Genomic DNA, 23,360 nt, shown 5'->3' with positions numbered 1-23,360 from the left:
AAAATTAACATCATAAATTATGAGATTTGTCCAGTTACATTATTTTGGTGTATGCAAGTACAAGATGTTTATTTTTAACATTTGGTCATGACATTCAGAGGTACAAATTAAATAATGTCCTATTATTGTTCCAACTATGTCTCAAGTATAATTATATAAACATGCAAAAGTCCGAATTTACTAAACATTAATTTACCCTGAGAAGATGCAATATTTGTTCCTGGTAGTTGGGGATTTTAATTGGAGACCTGGATACCATTAGCTCTTTATGTCATGCTTTTATATATTTATACTTTGTAAGGAAACTTGGCAAAAATTTCAAACAAACATAGAAAAGACTTAGGCTAAGGTTTCAAGAAATGGAGACTTCTATCTTTCTTCCTAAAAAATTACTTAAAATATCAGCTTTCAGATATTAAAAATATCACTAAGTCTACATGTATACACCCCTTACTTTATGTTTTTAATTTCATAATTTGGTAATTTTCATTGTATTGTTGTTTCCCTTAAACGTTTGCCTTTGGAAGTCAGCAGGGAGACATCACGATCCCTTTGAACTTTTACTTTTGATGATATAAGTATTTCAGATTATAATAGAACTCCACATGCTAAATTTTGCTCTCCTGACATTTTTAAAACAACAGCAACGACAAAAGGTACTCGATGTAAATCCCTGAGGACTCACAGTAGCAGCCGAGTCTTACAGGTTCCCTTGGTCTTCAACACTCTCTTGTCTGACCTAGACCGAGTCTAGCAGAGGTGGTTATAAATAACTCCTCAAACACTGGCCGGAGGCTCCAGTATGAACTGGGGCTGCAGCTGCCGTGCACACTCGAGAGAGGGCAGACAGAAGAAAGCAAGACCAGAGATGACTACAGACACAAAATCTTAACAATTGGCATCCTGTAGTCACTACTTGAGCTTTTCCTCTTTATTTTTCGAGAAATTTTATTAAAATGTCTAGTAGACAACAGGACACATTTCTATTTTGCAAGCGCTCTAAACAGCAAGAGGCCCACAGAATGTTCATTATTGGAATGAGGAAGAAAGTGCTGTCTGTCCTGCCAGCACCAACATTAATGCCCATTCAAAAGTCTTTTAACCCAAATGGAAGTGGATTTAGCAGGCACTTTAGGCCAACATTATTTGGAAGGATTTTACACATTGTAAGTCATAATATATACTAAAAAAGAACCTGTGAAACTGTTAACTTGGATTTAAAACGAGGATTCTGAAGGTAGATTAGTATTAGCCAAGTTGTACCAAGAGTAAGTTTCTCTAACAGCATGTAGTATTGCATGACAACCCCACATAGAAATCAAATTGCCTTTGAAAATCTTAGCTCACTTACTTTATTTTAACACATATTTTGGTATTATTAAGGGAAAGTAAAGTTGCCTTTTTCCCCTTTACTTGTCAATGCTGCGTTTCAACTATAGAACGTTCTAATTCCTCCTGAGACTGCTATTTAAATGAAATTGATGGTGCAATTTTTTATCAAATAAAGCCTACTTTAAAATTATTGTTAACTCCCAATTTGCTATACAGATTTTTTTATTGCCATGTACTAGGCTTCAAAATTTATCCCTCAAATTTCCACTTTAACTTAAGTATATGTAATGTCAATTTTATGTTTTTGACTTGGGACTGTGGTATTTATGGCCAATATCACCAATGTTCCAATTGCTATTTAAGCATTAAGAGGTACGTCAGCAGAAATTTTAATTGTCTTACGTTTTAATTTTAATTTTATAATCCTTTCATGCTTTCTTATAAGCCATCTTTCCCTTTTGAGCCAGGAGATGAAACATTTTTAATTTGGTTCATCGTTTCAGCCCGTTTTCTTGATGTTTCAAGCATTATTTAGTGTCTGTGTATAGGATGTGATCGTTGCCACTTAGATTTTCTCAATGAAAACTTTTTGCCTGCATAATGAATGGCTAGTTATAACAAAATATTAGTTGTAGTCAATAAGGGAGAAAAATCAGCAAATTTAACATGTGGATGTCATTTACAGATTAAAGTCATCCGTGATTTAAAACAAAAACCTGTAATCTAATTTTTTTTTCCTAGTAATTGGTAAGGCAGAGTGATCTAGTACAGCACCATCCAATAGAAGTTTCTATGATTATGCAAATATTTTATGTCTGTCATGTCCAATATGGTAGCCACTAGCCACATGACATTTGGCTTGTGACAGAGAAACTTCGTTTTTAATTTTCTTTAATTTTAATTGCTCTATAGTTATATTTAAATACCAACTGGTCTAGAGCCAGAACATGGGCATTTGAGACTTGATTCCATCTCTTACTGTGTGGTTTGGGATGTTACACTCCCTGGGCCTCAGTCTTTGTATCTGTGAAATACAGGTAATAGTGCCCACCTTGTAGGTTGTTATGAAGATTTAACAAGATACCAGACCTTAAACCAGTGCCTGGCATATGTTGAATAATGAATAAATGTTAGCCATTGCTATCACATAGGTTTGTATTTCTACAGCAGTCAACCCAGCTTAGCTTTTATTTTCTTAGGTTAGCAACCAAAATAAATGAAGTATAATTGTAACTATGTCAACAAATAGGTTAAATTCAACTTTTACTTGTAGTGTAAGTGTGAAGTTCTGGAACTTTCTCTAACAAATGGGTACAAGTGACAGGCCAGTCAACCTTTTCTTAGGTGGAAGCACAGTGATTTTAAGAGATTGTGTAGTCTGCTCTAAAAATACTATTTTTGAATGAAGTTGAATAAGTCTGAACATCTGCAGGTGAAAATAAAGCTATAAAACATTAAAAAATTTGATTTGTATATACTGCATAAAATATGCTGTTTTCACATTAGTTGTATAACCAATGGTGCTAAGGACATTCAAATTAAGAAAGATATAGCGTTTAGACTAATTTATGTGTTTTTACTATTGGAAACTTAAATGCTTATATTCACAAATCTATAATTCATATGAAACTTTTCTTCTTCTCATCGATAGGGATGAGCTTTTCTAACTAGCATCTCCCATAGTCAAAATTAAGATTAGGGTTTTAGCAGATAAAACACTAGAATAGAGGTGCCCCCTGAGATTAAACAAGCATGGGGGCAGAAGGAAACTTCACAGAACCATACAAGTTATTTTCTTTCTTATATTGTCTTATGTTTGAGTGTTATGATGTTAAATTATTTCAAAGTAGAATATGTGAAATAAGAAATCACAGAAAATGAATGCTTCATGGAAAGGCTGATCTGGAGTTGAGACAAGAATATTTTGAAGCATGAAAGCAAGAATCTGTTCTTGGTGTGTTCAAAATGGAACAGGCTTCAGCCTGCTAGGTGTTGCCTCAGTCAGGCTGGTCTATTACAAAATGCTTTGAGAACTATGTTGAAAGTGGGTTGTGTGAATTCACCCCCTTCCAAAATGATTTTTTTTTTCATGTTGAATTGAGGCTGCTTGAAAATGAATATCAAAAAGCAGTGTCAAGGAAGGCAAATATCAGCTGCTGTCATCAACAAATATTTGCTGAATTCTACGTATTAGTTATGTACAGTGTTACAGGGCTTTCAAAGCAGGTGGATGATGAGACGTTATTTACATTTAAAGCTGATGTTCTTAAACTTGATTAATGAAAGCTTGGGCATCATGTCCAGGCAGCCCTGAAATTATATGCACACCTTGGTGTGTGAATGTTCTGTACTTTGATGTGGGAGGTGGACCAAGGGTAGTATAAGTTGTGAGAGTATCAACATTTTTTGGTTTGATCCTTAAAGTATTTCATGACTGCCAAAATGTTAACTGTTAATTTCCTTGGATCACATCTAAATGGTAGCTGAGAAAAGCCCAAATGCTAGCCTTCTTTTCATTGTGATGCTATTATGCTAAATAGTTCTAGACGTGGGGCTTCTTATGCAGTTCAGTGTGACTGGTGATTACTAATCTGGCTTAAGCCCTGTGTAATCAGTGGTATCCTGACTGCATCTGAGGGCCTGATCAGTCTCTTTCAGATAATCAAAGGGACACTAGTTTTTTCCTGAAGTCCATTACCATGAGTTAGAGGGCTCTCTATATCAGTGGTTCCCCCCACTTTTTCTCGTACTCACACAACCTAAAAAATTTGGACAAACTATGTGCCGTCTAGCATATAATACATAAGCATACAAAATATTTTCTCTTAAATTTAAATATTTTTAAAGAGTGTAACTTCTGGCATGTTGTAAATATTGACATTTAAAAATAAAACTGCTGTACCACTCCTTAAAATATATCCAATGAAATCTAAATACCATTGAGATTTGATTTTTACCAACATCCATTTAAAAAAAATATGCACAGAATGTTCTTTAACAGTCAGGAATTTTATATTGTTCCTTTTCCTCCTTGAACCCAATTTTCATTCCACTTCCCCCAAAGAAGTTGATTCTGGGATAATATATTTTTATGCTTAGAAGTCTTTTATTGATAATCAAATCTTGCTTCTTGCAATAAAAAAGTATGTAAATAAAAATTCTAAAAATAATATTTTATGACCATAATGATTTATGTTTTTCTGGATGGAGTTATCATTATAACTATATTTAGCACACAGTTGATGAAAACAATATAAACATATGATCAGATTAATAGCAAAAGCAGGGAGCCTTGTGATGAGCTAGGAATGGGGTGGTTTCCCCATAGTGTTTCCTTCAGGTGCTCTATTTGCTTGGCTTTTGTAAGACCCTCCCCTTGAAGTGATACACTCTTTGACAGTAGGGCAGTTAAGAAAGAAGCAACAAACTTTTAAAGTTACCATCACTCTTCACTCTATTAGATGTCTGAATTCAGAGCATCTGATTTTATAGGCTAAAATATCTATTTCTAATATCATAGTCTGTCCTTAGAAGAAAACTGTACTGGAGAAAAATAATACCAAGAAGTGTACACCTACAACATTTTGAAGGTTCCCTTTGTTCCAGACCTCAGCATAATGTGCATAGTGCAATGATGGATGGGCAGTCAGTATGCTTCATTTTGTAAAGTGTGGGAAGATTAGTTGTGATGAGAACATGTCATTCTGAAGGAAAATAATGGGCAGATGAGAGAAATTTTTCATTTGAGGAAGGCCTTTAGAGTCTCAGTAGTTCTAAAACCCATGGAGATATACTCATAAAACTGAATTCCACTGAATTACATCTCCCTGTGTCCGGATCCCTTTTGCCATATGATGTGTTCCTTCTTTGTTCTATGACTGTCTTTTCCACTTGTGTGAAAAATGGAAAGTCATGAAACTGACGATGTGTAAGTTCTGGTGTCCAGGCTTTAAGAGGCCCTGCAGCTTCTGCTTGGACACTCTTGGGAATCTCAATTGACCATGCTGTGTAGAAGCCCAGTGCGGTCTCCTGGATGATGAACAGCCAAGTGGAGAAGAACCTAAGCACCTTAGCCAGCAGAGCTGCCAGCCACGCTGGAACATTCAGCTCTGCAGCTGCATTGAGGGAAACCAGTAAAGGCAATAACGAGATCGCCCACCCACAGAATCTGGAGGACTTAGAACTCTGTTGTCTTAAGTCTCTAAGATTTGGGGTGGTTTGCTCTGCAGTGACATATAACTGATACATCCATTAACTTGAAAGATGTCCTCCAAAATGTTTATTACACTTATTCATTAATAGTCCCTCTCAATGAAATAAAGTTGTTATGTAAAATAGTTACATAACATAACCAATAGTTATGTAAAAGAACTTAGTTTTTAAAAGATCTTCCTAATATAAATTAATATAAATATCTAAAGCTAGATGTGAACACATGAAAACACATATACACATCCACAAACACACAAACTCTTATGGAATCAATTACATCAATTAGATTCCATTCAAAGTATTATAGTCAGGTAGGACTTTTATGAGTATAAAGAACAGAATCTGGCTCATAATATGTTCACAAGAATAATATAGGGAATAATCAAATGAATTATTTCATTGTGTGAATAATATCGACCACTTCTAACAAAAATGACATTGATTCGGGAATTTGGGACACAACCACAACATCTGTAATAAAGCTTGATTTTCCATCATACACAGGCAACATCATAAAGTATTTCTTTTAGACTAAACCACAATTCTTGCAGAGGTCTAAAAGGTTTTATGTAACGCATTAAAAAGCCAAAATAAAAACCAAATGATTTTGGGAGAACGACAAGCTTATTTGCAAACACAAAGTTAAAGTTCTTCTATTCACTTTATGTCTAAATCAATTTTCAATTGCTTTAAATTTCAGTATTTTTTTCCTTGTGGACACTCTGAAACTAAGAGGATAAATCCCCTAAATACCCTCATTATGCTTGACATGCACAGTGCATGTGGTAGAAGAGAGCTGAGAACTATACTTGTCTCCTACAAGACAAAAAGTATGGAGAACTTACAAGGTGAAAATTAATGAAGTCAAAGAGCACTAGAAGAATAAAACACCTTGGGAGTAAGTCTTTGAGTGCACACACGCTCTTCACAGGCAAATGAAGGACGTGGGGCACAGAGAGGCAAGATGGTAATTAAAGAGTGGGTGGCAAACCGTATGAGATCTCTTAATTTCCCTCCAAATTAACTTTTGTCTACAGGCATACAATTCCTTAGTGGAAACCCCTGGAACCACACATTTTCAGAGTGGAGTGGAGTATTATTAGCTGCACATCTAGACTTCATAGCATCCTCAGTCAGATCTGGGACATTTCCCCATAAACAAGTATCTTAACATTTCTACAGTGAAAGGTATGGCTATTTATACTAAATTGGCTAAATGAAAATTAAAATGCTCTTTTTTCAGTTCAGGTTGGGTTCTACTACATAATGAGTTTGTTGCCAAATTTACAGAGACAATAAATAAAACAAACAAACACTTCTTTTGGAGTTTGGAATTCCAAGCACAGGACTCAGGATCCTATTAATACCTATGTCTAATTCAGAACTTTCTTTTTTATCCCTGTTCATGTTTTGACTTTTTTATCGCACCCTGTTTCTGGATTGTAGTACAATATACAGTGAGGTTTTTATTTTTTTAACCTTGTTTAGTCTTTGTCCTTTTCTTGTATCTCTTTTTTTTCCTTCATATTCTATATCGATGGTCATAAACAGTGGCTTAAATGCTTTTCTGTCTCAGTTAATGTAGGCAAATTATTCTATTGGGAAGATGAGTGAGTCATTATTTACAGATGCCCTAGAAATCAGCCTTTACACATAAAGTGAGGACTGTATACTGATAGATCCAGACATACTTCTGACCAGCAAAGTGTCAGATGCAGGAGGCAAGTTAGAAGCATCAACATCAGGATCAAAATCTGTCAAAAGTACTCAAAGATTAAATAACACCCAGATTTAACATGACTCAGGGATCATATAAGTACAGGAAGCCCCTACTTGTCCCATGTAATGGAAATTTAATTTTTTAAAAAAATAGGAATACTAAGGATCAGCCATGCCAATGTGTGACAATATGGTGCACAGATGGACATTTTAGGTGACACCAGAATTGAAATAAGGGCCTATTAAAAGGAAGAACACTAAATACTCCTTTAACAGTTAAGATTTTTTAAAGTTCTTGGTGAATTATTTAAATGTTTCTTGAAGAAGATTTAAATTTTTTGTTTTAAAATTGATTATAAAAATAGTCAACATTTAAAAATAAAGTATTCCTTTCTAAAATTCCCATCACATTAACACTCATTTGATTGCCACTGGTTTCTAAGGGAGATATTAGGCATTAGCCGACCTGTCGTATTCTCTATCTCCAGGCACATGGCAGGTTACAATCCTCTACTTCTTGGAAGTGGAATGTAGTAGTCATGCAACTAGTTTTGGCCAATGATATGTAATGTAAATGTCATAGGTGACTTCTGGATGAGACATTTGAAAGGCAAAGCATAGTTCCCTGTTCTCACTTCCACTGCCTCAGCAGATTTCTGTTTTGAAATGTCAATATCATCACATGGTAAGTCTCCATCAGTTTGGGTCCCTGAGTGACCTGATGGAGCAGAACACTTTTCTTCTTTCCTCTCTAACACCAATCCATGTTAGACCTCAAGCATGACTGAAAAATTAGCTTGTTGCTTCAAGCTATTGAGGTTTCTCAGATTATGAATTATGGGAGCATAATTCTGGCCATCTGGAATAATTCTGGCCATCTGGAATGATATGTTCTCTATTAAATGGCTGGTTATCTGTACATCATTCTGAATCTGGATTTTGTATAGCAACTTTCAAAGTCTTTTGAATTCATATTCTAAATGCCAGAGCTGAATAGATTGCTTTGCTCAGTTTGGTGAAAACATCATATATCCCCCTTAAATGGTCTAGTAAAGCACAGCTCAACATTTGTCCTATTATTTTAGGACTATGGGATATGGCCATACTTACATATTAATGTTCTATTCATAGAATCACAAATATTGAGGGTTTGTGGCATAAAACCCTCCAAGTTTTTCTGTCACATATAAGAAATTGGTTGTAGTGGTTAATGGAGAGTTGTAGTGATCTGTTCAATGTAAAGGGAGATTCTGGAAAGGCATGACAGGTGAAGTATTATAAAAGAAAATCAACTGTTCTGCACCAATTTAGAAGAAAGTATATTGATATTGTGGAGGAACAAAATCAGCATATCTGAAGTCCAAAAATAGCCCAAATCCCCACATTAAATTCTATGAATCTCAGTTTAATCTATATATGATAAAATATTCAGGAGCTTAAAGGAATTAAATATTTTAGTAAGAACTAGATATTTTAGCAAAAGTCTTTCACAGTCTCTTTTTTTTCTCTTACATGAACTTAACACTGGGTCCAAAACAGAAACGCCCAGTTGTCGGGGGGAGGTGGGCCCAGTGTCTTCTCAGCACACCTGTGAACTATAGGTCTTGTTTCTACAATAATCCTCAATCCTGGAACTTCATGGTCCCCAATCATTCTTTTTATTCATTAATCTTTTGAAATCACAGTCAGGTATTATACATTGGCTGGAGAGAGAAAAAAATGGAATATTGGAAACTAAAAATAGAACTACCATATGATCCAGCAATCCCATTTCAGAGTATATATCCAAAGGAATTGAAATTAGTATGTTGAAGAGATATCTGCACTCCCAAGTTCATTTCAGCACTATTCACAATAGCCAAGATAGGTAAGCAACCTATCTTGCTTTGTTCATCAGTGGATGAATAGATAGAGAAAACATGGTGTGTGTGCGTGTGCATATACACACACTCAAAATGGAGTACTATACAAACTTTAAAAAGAAGGAAATTCTGTCATTCATTACAGTGTGGATGGAACTGGAGGACGTTATGCTAAATGAAATAAGCCAGGCACAAAAAGACAAAGACCATATGATCTCACCTATATGTAGCATCTTAAAAAAGTCAATCTCATAGAAACAGAGAGTGGAAAGGTGATGGTTACTAGAGGCTGGGCGGGGGTGGGAAGGAAGGAAAAGGATAAGAAAAGGGTACAACATTTCAGTTAAATAGAAAGAATAAGTTTTAGTAATCTACTGCACTGCATGGTGACCATAATTAATAATGTATTGTATATTTCAAAATTGCTAGAACAGATTCTTAACATTTTCATCACAAAAATATAAGTTGGTGATAGATATGTTAATTACCTTGATCAACTCTTTCTACGATGTATGCATAGATCAAAACATCCCATTGTACCTCATAAATATACATAATGGTTTTATTTCAATTAAAAGTTGAAAATTACATAAAAAGAAAAAAGGGATATTGGCAAATACAATAAAGTTGCCTCGGGGCATCAGTGGTATGTGCTTGTGAACACACACGTGTGTGTAGCTGGATTCGCAGATTTTTTAATTGCTTTCAACTTAATTCAGTTTTTTCAAAATTTGACTCTTGCTTAACATGGTGATCTGAAATGAAATCCTTGAAAAATTGACTTTTGGGTCTCAATATGTGCAATGAGGCAACTAAAATGTGAAAGGGTATAGTTACACATGCTAACTGTTTTGAGTTACATTAGAAAAATTATCAATAGAAAAAGCTCAGTTTTTAAGTCCTGTAAGTTTAGTAATTACTTCATTATTACATCTTAAAAAAGAGAAATAAAATCCATGTAATTTGGGGAACGAAGGTTTATTTTAAAATGTCATTAAGAACATGCTATATTTTTCATTCCGAAAAATGGGTATAATAAGTTCTTCTTAAAAGACAGTTAATGATAGAATGAAATAAAATATGTGAAAGTGTTTTCCAATAAGAAATCAACTTAACAAATTTAAGATATGGTTTTAATTTTTTATTTTTCTTGGCAACAATTTTAATGTAATGCAATATATTTTTCTCATCAATCTGCATCTTTATGTAAGAAATCTACTTCTTCATATTAACTGCAGACACATTCACTGTACTTGTCAAAGTTGTAAATACCAGGAAAGCTAACTATTTTTTCTTTTTTTAAGAGAGGGAGTCTGACTATGTTGCCCAAGCTGGAGTATAGTGGTTATTCACACACACAATCATAATTCGCTGCAGCCTTGAACTTCTGGCCTCGATCATTCCTCCCACCTCAGCTTCTTGAGTTGCTAAAATTACAAGTGCATACCACCGCAGCACCCAGCAAGAGTTAACATTTATCCTGGCTAAATTGAAGTTTATCAAAATGTGGTTTGTAAATATAAAAATCATATTATTTACTCCAAATCCTAAACTTGATCATTTTCAAGGAAACGTAACTCTCTTTCAGTAACACACATTGCATCTAACTTATCCACATTTATTTGAGTCATTTGTATACAAATACAGAAACATAATTTCAATGATGCTTTTAACAAAAATATTGAAAAAATTAGAATCCTTCAGTTACTCATGTAGTTTTCTTTTATGAATTGCTGCATACAAGTAGTTAAGTGGGAAAACGCAGTTCTGTGAAATTTTAAAAATAAGACTGATGTTTTTTCGAAGCTTATGGGAATATTTATATGAATGCTATACTTTTGTATTATGTCAGTTGACTCACAGATCCACGTATATAAATTCAGCTACAGTTTGCATGTTGAAAAACATCACAAAGGTTTTCAATAACTAGAATTCATGTCTACAGTACTTAAAACCTGGACCTCTAAAGTACATTGGCAAATGTTTATCAAAATTCTGATAGCCAACACCATATCTAAGACACTAAACCTATCCCAAGTGCATTAGAAACCCTCCATTCTGCTCCTTGACAAGTCTCTCTTCCTTTGTTTGTTTGTTTATTTGCCTTCTATAGTTGCTTCTGTGAAGTTCATTTTGCTATTTCCTTAAATCTTACCTCCCCCTGCTGGTTGTGCAACATGGAGCGTGTCTAGGTAGAGTAAAAAGTAATTTGCAAAGGTTGGAGACCTTTCAGAAGGGCAACTCGTAAAAATACATACGCTCATATATATGTTTACAAATACATATACACATGTACACACAAAATGAAACTAGATTTTTTTATAAATTAGACTTAGTCTTAGATGAGAATTGTTAAGGCAATAATCTATAAACAAAATTTTATGTGAAAGAGTAATATCATAGTTATAACATGAAAGATACTCAAGATATATCCCACATTTATATATGCTAGAATAGTGAAGTGTATTTGAGTCAATAGTTTTCATTATGTTATCACGTACACAATTTGCACAATGGCTTATCTGGAACACTAAGAAGACATATACTCAGTCCTATATGTTGATGCAGATATTAGCTGGCCAAAACCATTGATTATCTAGTAATAAATTGAATTTTTATATGCAACCTTTATTGACTTATCACAGTATAATTTAGTTTACCAGAAGTTTTGACCATTTCCCTTCTTTTAAAATTAGACTGGCTCTTCAACTAGAACTTCTAATCTGTAATGCTGAAAATGCTTGCTAAATCAAACATATACGGAACCACAGGATGCATAATTTTCAGAACTGTGTCTACATGGCCTGCAATTTACATTAAATTGCTATGTTTTGGTTAAATGGCACCTTAGCTTCCAAGCAACTCTTTCAATAGTTGTTTCTTTAATTATTATTTAATTTTGTGGTTATGACTGGTTTTCAGTTAAAGAGGGTACTACTGACAAATTCAATTAAATGAAAATAGAGGACTTAATGGTCCATGCTAATGCTTCATTTCATACATAATATTTTATCATTTTCTGTGCAAATTTGTAATGAGAGCTTGGTTTGTATTAATAAATGCTTACATTTAGGCCACATAAAGTACAGTAATTAAAATACTTCGCTAATAATATTTACTTATAAGTGCTCTAGAAAAAATTAACCCATTGATTCCAATTACTTTTACTAAACCAACTTCCAAGAATACAGTTCTTTGGCATCAAAAAATATTATTTTAATCCTACTTTTCATAAAGTGCCCTGGGTGCTATTTTATTATATTTTAATAGAGCATGTTATACATCTGCTGCTTTCTGGAACACAGATTTCATAGAATAACAGCAAACAAAAATTTAAACAAAACTACCTTTTTTTTGAATTTTGAACAAAGGACACATATGTTATAGATCTCATTTCCAAATATTTAAACTGAGAAATGTAACTGTTTATTGTATTGAAATGAGCAAAAGTTGGTTGTCTTTTGCTCTTTAAAGTAAATGTTACTCTATGGTATTTTTTCTTTAACCTATAGCAGAAGTCATCTGCAGACAATTTACATTCCTTCTCATACTAAAAGAAGATATGCTGCCTCCCCAAATGAATAAAGATCTTATTTATAAACATGTTGCAGAATATGTGTTACTCATAATTCAACTCTGTAATAACATAGTTCAAAATTAAATATATATGTAAATGTATAAGCGAAACATAAAAGACAAGTTTATATTTCATGAAGTTGGAAACAATAAGTCTGTATAGGATTATTCAGTTTTCTAGTTTACATGAAAAAGGAACAATTAATCATTTCTAAAATCTCACCTCTAGATATGTGGCCAGTATATTGGCTAATCAAAGCTTTTGGTTTTTATGAAAGTGGCACTCTGGAAATCAGACATATTTAAAACAGAACGATGTGTTTTATTGTTAGTACTTTTTGCTATTGATGTTGAATCAATATCCTAAGGATAAGGAGAAGCAAAACTCCAAACTGACATAAAGGTTGAGATTACAAAATAAATTATGGAAAGGAAAAGAAAATATCTTGAGGTAGTCTGTTCCTTTAAGACCACTAATGAAAAAGGGAAAACGCAAATCAAACTCTTCAGGTAACTAAAGCTTTAGAGATGAGCTTTTTAAAAGGCAGAAAGATCTGATTCATTAGAAAAAGCCCTTATTTTTAAAAGCAAGCTGGTAATGACAGCCTTAGTTTTCACATGGAAATACAAAGTGTCCAGTGATAATACTTCATTAGATATGACCCACAGTACTTCAAAGCAGTCTCTTGTAAAGGAAAAGTCACTTGGTTGTAACATATAAAAAGGAATTATTACTATTTTAAAGGTGGGAAAACAAACACAACTTCAGGTCAAACACTGAAGCATAGGATGGCTAAATTTATAACCCAGATGTAACTTGGCACCGAATTCTACCATTTCAATTAGTCTCCAGAAAATTTTCTAAAAATAAGCCTGTACATTTTCATTTAAGAGTGATATTTTGAGTAGTTGTAAGGGGCTTGACATAAAGCACATCTAGTGACATTAAGGTATATATCTTAATACATATCTTGAAAGAGATGGTACATAATAATATATGACGATTATCAATAGCATCTAAAACAGAGCAGGAATTAAAATACACACACATACATGCAAATAAAGGGCACGTGTAGTCATTGGAATTGATGGATACAGAGTTAGTTCCACTGTTAGCTAACCAGGAAGAGCTGTGGGAATCAACATGCTCCCACAGTGCATGCACACAGTTTGTGTAGGTCCAGGGAACAGGAGAACTATAAGTAATCCTCATCAGTCACCACTATCTGCAAAGCCTTTGTTTCTCAAGATGATGTGCTGCTGACCAAATGGCCAGATTTGATAGAATTGGGCAAAATAGTTCACTTCAGTTATATAATATTTAAATATGTTCTACTATTTACAGAATTAATGAACTCCTTCACTTTCACTATAGAAAATTCTGTGTCTGGCTAATTTTTGATATTATTGAATACTGAGTAAATATTTCAATAAAATTTTTCTTGTCTACACTTGAAAATAGCTTCAATTTGTAAAATATTTTTTCTATCCCTAAAATAAATCTTATTGTAGAGAATGCTTCTGTCAAAGTATTAATGGCTGAATCATTTCTCTTTCTGAAGCTACTGTTGGTACAACAAGATCTGATTCTGCCTCTTGCATGGCAAAATATGCCAGAGGAATCAGGAAACTGATGTTTCAGCATTCAGGTTTGCCTGCTCTTCTCATTTCATGCATGTCACAGTATCTTCAGCAACTGTTGCTCAAAACATAGGAGATGTGAAACTTTTCTGTCTGGTTGCCTTTGGAGAAGTGGATAAATATGCCAACTAGAGTCCAGAACACATCCTTGTAATCACAGAGAAAATGAAACAGCATGCTCTACTTGGGGTAAGGAGATTACACAGCATTGCTTGCTGGACAAAGGAAAATAAACCTTTTTCTCTCTTTGAGTCCTTTAAAAAATCCTGGTAGTTGGGGTTTGACTGGCCCATTATTGACATCATAAGCAATATTCTTAAATGCATATATTTTTGAATGAATAAAAAATACAGCTAATCGTACTTAAATCCAAGCCAGAGACGCTTAGAAGACCTCAGCTTGACGTTTGAATGCTACTTACATTAACTGAGCACAATTAGGTATTAACAATTCCAAAACACTCTCTTTGGACAGCATTTGTTAATAATAACATTTGTGTTACACGTTTGTTGAAGTCATGCCTAAGATGCAGAATTCATCTACATTAACATCCTACTTTGCTGGGTCTCATCTCACCTGATGGTTCTTCTAGGCATTCCCTTACTCAGTTGCCTTCGATCTTACGTGTTGTGTTTCCATTTCACCTCTTTCCCCTTGTGTCCTTGTATAGTTTTTTGAGGCAGAATCTCACTCTATCACCCAAGCTAGAGTGCAATGATGTGATCAAGGTTCACTGCAACCTTGATCTCCTAGGCTGGAGTGATTCTCCCGCCTCAGACTCCCAAGTAGCTAGGACTACAAGGATGCACCACGCTGCCAGCTAACTTTTTGGTATTTTTTTGTTAGAGATGGAGTTTTGCCATGTTGCCCAGGCTGATCTAGATCTCCTGGGCTCAAGCGATCCTCCTGCCTTGGCCTCCCAAAGTGCTGGGATTAAGTGAGCCACTGCAACCACCCAATTTTTAATATTTTGTACCTTCTAAACTAATTGTTGTACTAAAGATATGCTATTGATGAATATTCTCAATAGTACTGAAAAAAACACTGTGATACAGAGATTGGGCTTAGCCACTGGATGACCCACTTATTCCCATGTGGAAAAATACCAAATCAGTACTTTAGCTGCAACACAAATTGCTAAGTAAAGCAATTTAGTTAGAAGGAGAATATTAATCAAAGGAAACAGTCAGTCTTCAGAACAACTTGATCAGATAGTTTACTAGCTTAGAAGTTAAACAGGAGTAAAATTAAGCCTATATTTCCTCTTCTGTAAGAGACAGGGATAATAACTCTATACAGTCATTATTTCACTATCAATTTTGTTTTGCTCTGGTTTTGATGGGGATTAAGATGGAGAAGTGAAAGGAGGAAGAATCTGTGAAATGATGGGGCAAATGAGCTGACGTGTAAAACACTGGGATTGTATTATGATTGGATTTTGTTACATTAATTCGAGTAGGTTATCTAACACATACAAACTTCAAATTGGAAACCACTTAAAGCAACTAGTATCTAATAGCATAATATAGAGAAACTATTAGAAGTAAATAATGGGCATATTTAGACAAAATTAGCTTCATCATGTTGAGTAGGCAGTAGGGAAAGACTTTATGTATGAAATATGCACATGAAATGCTGTTGGGGGATAGAGAAGGAAGTAAATGTTAATATACTTAATTCTTGTTTAAAAACATAATGCAAAACCTAAAACAGAGCAGGCATACAATCGGTTTTGTGGGGTGCTGGAATGAATGAATGAAAGATGCCATAGCCAGGGATTCCATCAGGGTAGGCAGAGATACATAGATTGCAAACATAACCTGGTTGTGGCCATATTGATTATTAAAAAAAATAAGTAAAAATTTAAAAAATTGTCTTCAGATAATGCTGTAAATAATGGCAAAGTTTTTGTAGCTCAACAAATTCAATCATGGTATGTTTTCACCCATAGGTTGTGTAAATTATTATTAGGACTTGCTTTATTTATTAGAGAGTTTCGAGGAAAATGAAGTTTATAATGGATGTTTTATGGTCTATTGTTAATATTATGTACTGGCTTTTTGGTAGACTTTCCCTGTTTGGAACAAATCCAAAGCATCATACCAGGGCAGTTGGAACATGTCTGTTCTGTAATGTCCATGTGCTAAAAATCCTCTAGAGAGTTCTACTGGGAGAGGATTAAAACTTGTCATTAAGCCAAATAACAAATCTTTGTTGGTTCTCTGCAGTGCACAGCGATGTTAGAGCTCATGTTACAGGTTAATTGCTTTCAGTGGTGGAATAGCCTGAGTAAGGTTTTCCTTGGCTTAGCAGAGTATTAATAAGGAAACCCAACACAACGTGACCACCAATATTAGAGACAGAGAACTCTGGCAGGCTAAGGCAGCCAACGGCCAATGGGAAAGCTCTGTTACCGAGGGATCATCAGATATGCAAAGCACAGAAGTATTTTACCCTGATGTGGTCTACTAACTTTAAGCAACAAAGACTTCGTCCTTAAGCATTTGTGAGATTCGAACACACAGTGCATAAAAGGTTATGTTCCAAGTGCACAGTGGAAAATAAAGTGAAAGCAAGACATCAGACAGAAATATAGAAAATTTAATATTGTCCACTTATTGGATTTCTGTAGCCTGGAAGTAGCCCTGATTATTTTACTTTACTTCAAATTTTTTAAAAGAAAAATAAAATTGTCCATAACTGAAACTTGGGTACCAATTTTATCTACAGCATTTTTTTTTCCAAGCCTGATTATAAACCCCTGAAAATCAGCATTCTTGGTATAATGGGAATACTGCATATCTTTATAACAGCCTTAGCAGTACTAATTACCCATTCTGTACTTAGAAAGTAGAAGGATCAAGACTATATGCATTTACAGCATCCATGTTTGCAGAGGTAGCTAGCCTGTCAGCATTTTCATTCTGTACAAAATGCCTGAGAAGATTTTAGAAATGGCAAAGCTGCCTCTTTAGCATCAATCTACATTGCAATTTTAGCAAAGCAGCATTACTCAGAACACCATACAGTATATCCTAGTGTACACAGTCAAAGTCCAATTTGAATCTGTGGGATGAATTAAAATACCATATACTAAAGAGCTGTTCAAAAATAGTAAACTACCGTAGCTACCAGCTGCAATTTCTTATTTTTCCTAAAAACTCTTCTCCGTTTGAATAAGATCAGCATATGGCTTATCCAAACTACACCTTTTAATAACTCCATAAAAACGGACTGACTTGGAACATTATACAGCACCGGTAAGAAGGGCTGATGAACTGCGCTTCTACTGGGGTCTTCCTACATGAGAAAAATCGTGCAAAACCCAAGATACACGATAAAACGTATATATCTGATCTTTTGCCTTTTCATTCCCCTGCCAGTCTTGCCTCCTGCATTTCTACTCCAGTGATTCTGTAGCAAGATACATACACAATAACAATTGTCAGAGCCCGTGCTCCACGGCTGACCACCTAGAAAGAAACGTTCTCTGTTGTGAGTCCTGGCCCTGTGCACAGCCGGCAGAGGTTTCTGCATGGCTTGTGCCGGACAATGTTGTACAATCGGTTTCAAAATGTGGTGTCAGTCAGCGCTCTGGCACATGTGCAACCTCAAAGGGTGAAAGAAGTCGCGACTGGGCTGTGGTCAGTGACTGGTGGCGGGGCTGCGCTGCCAGTGTGGGTGAAGCAGGGTAGAAGGAAACCACTTTCAAGTGATAGCATTTGGTTTTCCCATGATCTGACAACCAGCAACCCACGGAGAGCTTTCCTTTTCTTTTCCTGCGTATCCACCTTCCCCTCCTGCCCTTTCCGCCCTCACCCCTCCCTGTTCACCTCATCCCCACCGGGCCCTGCCTTTGGTGAAAGAAAGAGACCAAAGTGCCACAAAAGGGCAAGGGTAGCTCAGTTTCAGACCCCAGGGCAACATGTGTTCAGCGAACAAGAGTGTAAGAAACACTGAATATAGCAGTTAATTCTTTAGACATACGATTTTCTGACTATGGCTTTCTTTTTAGCCATGCATATTTATTGCCATTCAAAGAGATTTTGTCTGCATACCAGCAAACAGCTATTGAGAACCCAGCAAATCTTAAAATGATTAAGGCACTGGAGTTTGCTAAAGATGTGGCATGCAAAGAATCACCAGAAAGCCATAGAATATTAAAAAAATATTAATAATGTCAGTTCTAATAATTCAAACTCAGATTTATTTTGCTACAATCCTGTTCCAAGTGGTGTGCCCTGTCTTTTTTCTTAAGAATGAACAAAGATCATGGAACAGATTGTAACCTAGGTAAATTGCTTGTCTGTTTACAATTGTATTTCACATATTCTATATATCATTTGCAAACTATTCCCCAAAGAAATATGTATCAAACTTTTGAAAAAAGTGAAGATTTGATGACAATCTGTTTTCCTTTCATTTGTTTCAGATGCTGCAGGAGATTTCATCTGCTAGTTAGGTTTTTTTGTCTGCATTTTGAATATAGTGTCCTGTCATGTTCATCATTTGTTTTCTTTTGTTCTCTCTGCTTTTACATTCATAAACTACATTTCTTGAAATTATATCGCCACCATTAAGCAAAGAGGAATAAAGGAAAAATACATAGACGATTGAAGTGAAGTTTACATATGCAATGTAATCATAGAATCCTGATCAAATGTGAATGACAAATGTTTCCACATATCATTTGAAAAAAAAAATCAAAATGCTCCCCTCAACTCTTTTAACTTATAGGAATATGCAATTTGTGAGTTTTAGGACTTGTCATCACAAAAATGTCTTAAGTTATACTTTGAGGAAAACAGTTAAGTATTGCAGCATATTTATAAATGTGTTTTCATGGTCTGAACCTTTGGGATGAGAAATTATTCCTTAGTAATTAATTGCTGCAACTTTTTTAACTGTCAAAACTAAAGATTAATCTTGCAATAGCAGTTTAACCAGAAGAACAACCAATGGCAATTGCTGAGGAGTATGACTCATAGAAAACACTCAGGAAGAGCAGAGATTCCGAACTAACACTAAATGGATTCTAACAACTCAATTCTAGCATTACTCACAGTGTATTAATAGAGCCTCTCTACTCCTAAGTTAGCACTGAAATCAGACAAAAACACTCTCATTAAGAAGAGACATTTCCATCCCACTACAAATAAGGATTCTTAGATTGTACTCATACTAAACACTATTATACACTAAATATTTAATTATTGTTTGTACTGGAATTTAAATCATTGAAAAAATGCACATTTATTTTTCTTAAATATCTTCAAAAATAATTATGAAAAAATAAATCCATATTATCATGTAAACTTGGCATATAGACATGTAATAAACATGTATTCGATGACTAATCATTATAATTAATTATAATAAAGCTTGGGTGTAAAAGTTGGCTTTGTCTTAGAAACTAAAAACACGCATTTAGTAATAAATGGTATGGATCACTGGAGAGACACCTTACAGAGCTTGGGGAAAGGAGCAGTTACCCAGTGAAAATGCTTTTGGCAACTCTTGACCTTTGAGTTCCTAACTTAAAGGACATACAAACAGCACCATTCTCCAGCAAGTTTCCCTTGATAACCTGCTGGAGAGGGGACAGAGTATCCTGAAGCCATTTGACATGCACAATTTAGCAATTATGTGGTCAGAGGAGGAATGATTCTGTTAGACCATCAGGGATTGCTGATGTTTACAGCCTTTACACACTTAGAGAAAAATCTAAAATCTAACACAGCATAATCAATATCAGAATGAATTCTCCTTTCGAGCCGTGAATGATAGCTCACATTTTATAGGAAAAGTAAATTTGGAAGATTTCAAATGTTTGATTCAATCTATTTTTTTTTAAAGGAAATACGTGAGGGTGTGAGACTATGTGGTGAGGGGATATTCATTACTATATTTAAATGAGGAATAAAAATAAACATGAGTCAAAATGCAATGTGATGCTTTTTTTAACCTTGGATTTCAAAACTAACATTTCTCCAGGTGAAAAAGAATAAAGTTTATTTTACTTTACTTTTCAACTAAAAGAAGTTGTTCTTTTTTCTAAGTCTCCCTTGAGCTCACAGCAATGTTTATTTATTTTTATTTTACTGTACATGAAGAAGGTTGCAAGACCAATAATGCTAACGCTTTAAATATTTCAATCTAATTTGAGATTCTTAATTCATTTCCTCTGTGAATAATTTAAACCTGTTTTCCTTTTGTTTAGTTTCCTTGATATGAAAACACAATTTGCATTTCTCTTTTTAGCAGGTAAGTTAGCTAGAAAACAGTTTTCTTTCCCCCTCAAAAAGTAAAATCATTTTCAAGCTTTTACAGTTACATAAAAGTGCAGCTCAATGCTTTCACTCTCAAAGCTCTATTTTTAATGGGTTGTTTCCAAAATTTCCTGCATTCATCAATCAGATATCAATTGCGGGGGGCCTGATTGGGTCTCCCTCCACCTCCATCATTCCCTGCTGCCTGAGCACTGCCTGCCAAATGTTACAGGAAGTGACTTGAATAGCGACAGCAGATCCAGCAGCACCCTCAGTGTGCTGGTGGGTCATTGCCATCCCCACCGAGAACCCAGAACATCTGCTCTCTAAACACAGGGTCTGATGCATAATCAGCTTGCAGAAGACCATCTCTCCCAGTACATCACGGATCCTGGCACCTCGACACGTGCAATTGAACCAACCCACACACCCGCACCTCCACGTCTTCCTCCAATGTGTGGATTTGAAATGCAAAGTCTAGCTTTTAGTTTGTTTTATTTCAAAAAAAGAAAAGAGAAAACAAGCAAGAAAAAAATCCACATGGATTAAATAATGAATGAATCCCTTTAAGAATCTAATGGAGGACATATACATATGAAAGGAAATGATCACAGTGATAGAGGCAAGTTCAAGTGATAAGGAAAGATTGGTTGGCATAGAAATTGGCTGTTGCTGCTCCAAGGATCCCAAAGTGCACTATTTTTCTGATGTAGTCTTCATGCAAGTGTGATTTTTCAGCATATGGAATGTAGAAGGATAGGGCTCCCCGAACTAAGTCACACAAAATTGATATTCGCCTGTGGGGACTGAAGAACTTTTTGAGAACTACCTGGCATGGAAATTTATGTGAAGATTCTTCACAATGCAAAGGATGATACAGTGGCTCTTGAACTATTTCCTTATTGTGCTCATCTCAAACAGATGTCTTTTTGTTCATTGCATTCCTTGCACAGACATATTGGCTGTAACCTTCTGTTTTAGAGGGACTGTGCAGGATGATTTTCCACATGCTGAGATGCTAAACAAGGGTGTGTGCTCCGTGTTTGATTACTCAGTGCCTCAGTGGCAACAGGCAACTGCAGCAATGCCTTTGATAATATTTCTTAGAGGAATTAGGAAAAGCGAATTTGGTGTACTTTATTTTTGCTATTAAAGAAAGGCATTGAATTATCTTTTATTCTTTTTTTTCCCTTAACATATTAGAGGGAGTTTCCGGTTCTCTATTGCACAATGCCACACAGACACACAGCATATCATTGGGTGATAAATGAGAGCTTGGTGAATATGAAATTACTGATACTGTGTTAACAAAAATCTACCTGTGTGCAAAGTTCTTATGCATCTGTATCTTGTCTTTGTGACCGTGCACAAGTTGCCAAACCTCTTTGAACCTCATAATTCCTAAACTTTGGTAAAATAAAAATTACCGTGTAGCTTTGGGGAGTTCTACATGAGATCTGCTTCTTACATCTGCTGGCATCTAACAGCCCTCCCCTTCAAGTCTTCATGTAAAATTCAGGGGTACGTATTACCCATCCCCTCCCCCGTTCCCAAGGAACACTCTCTCCAGCTTCTTAGCTTTATTTTTCTCTGCAATACTGTCTACCCTTGAACTCCAGGATTTCCCTGTTTGCTTCATTTCTTGTCTGTCTTTCTCTTACTAGAATATGAATTCACCAGAGCAAGGGTTTTTGACTGTTTTGTTTATTACTCCATCCCCATTGCACGCTCTGATCCAAATTATATTACCAGCTCTGTAAATATGGATTAGATGAGTGGATAAATAAATTTTTACATTAATAAATGAATGGAAAGCCTAGATTTATTTAAAATATCTCTTTTCCATCCTGTGGAGTTACGTGGGATTCTCTGCCAATGAATTTATTGAAAATATCTTTTCCTAAACCTTTCAGGGGCCAAATAGAATATTTTCTTCCAAATGTACAAAGTAAAGTCTGTGTTTTTTAAAGCATGTTTCCCAAGGCACATCTGACGTTAAATCTAGCATGGAAGGGAACCCTTTGTCCACTCGAGAAAATGTTTCCCTTATCGAAGTTGGACGGCCAGGTGGAAAAATTGCACTATGCTGTCCACCTAGTCGATGACCCAGCAGTGTGGCATAGTGACCTAGCCTGTTGTAGCCCAAGTCACTAAGCCTAGAAACCACCTTCTAGTCTCTGCCTGTTTTGAACAAGCTGGTGAATCATCAGGACTTCCATTTCCCCATTTAAAAAATACATGCACAGATTTAGTTTCCAGTCTGGCACTAAACTACTCCGAAAATTTTGGCATTTCATGTTGTACCCCATGAGCTAGATAGGGTAAAGGACAGATCAACCACTTTTTTTTTTTTTTTTTTGTCTGTGAGACGGAGTCTCAGTCTGCCGCCCAGGCTGGAGTGCAGTGGCGCGATCTAGGCTCACTGTAAGCTCAGCCTCCCGGGTTCACGCCATTCTCCTGCTTCAGCCTCCCGAGTAGCTGAGACTACAGGCGCCCGCCACCATGCCCTGCTAATTTTTTTGTATTTTTTTTTTAGTAGAGGCGGGGTTTCACCGTGTTAGCCAAGATGGTCTGGATCTCCTGACCTCGTGATCCGCCCGCCTCCGCCTAGAACCACCGCACCCGGCCCAGATCCACCACATCTTATGTCTAATTCCATTCTATGGTAAAACATGACTTCTGGTGCATTAATAGCATTGAAGGCTCACCTTTTGTAACTACCCTGATCACTGGAAGATATGAGAAAAAA

General features: G+C 35.5%; 1 long non-coding RNA gene across 3 annotated transcripts in view; it reads right to left on the bottom strand.

Annotated features, from left to right (window-relative positions):
• LINC01965 (long intergenic non-protein coding RNA 1965) overlaps positions 1-23,360 on the bottom strand; it is a 205,982-nt gene that overhangs the window by 35,418 nt on the left and 147,204 nt on the right. For 2 of the 3 annotated variants that reach the window (XR_001739622.2, XR_007088674.1), the window contains exon 1: positions 686-756. The exons of the other annotated variant lie outside the window; for it this stretch is intronic. This is a non-coding gene — a long non-coding RNA (long intergenic non-protein coding RNA 1965). Of the gene's footprint in view, positions 1-685; positions 757-23,360 lie in introns of those variants that run through there. 3 annotated transcript variants of the gene reach the window in all.

The sequence above is a fragment of the Homo sapiens genome, chromosome 2 (genome assembly GCF_000001405.40).
Source record: "Homo sapiens chromosome 2, GRCh38.p14 Primary Assembly".
In the NCBI taxonomy this organism is placed as follows: Eukaryota; Metazoa; Chordata; class Mammalia; order Primates; family Hominidae; genus Homo; species Homo sapiens.
This window is presented reverse-complemented; position numbering and strand designations above follow the sequence as displayed.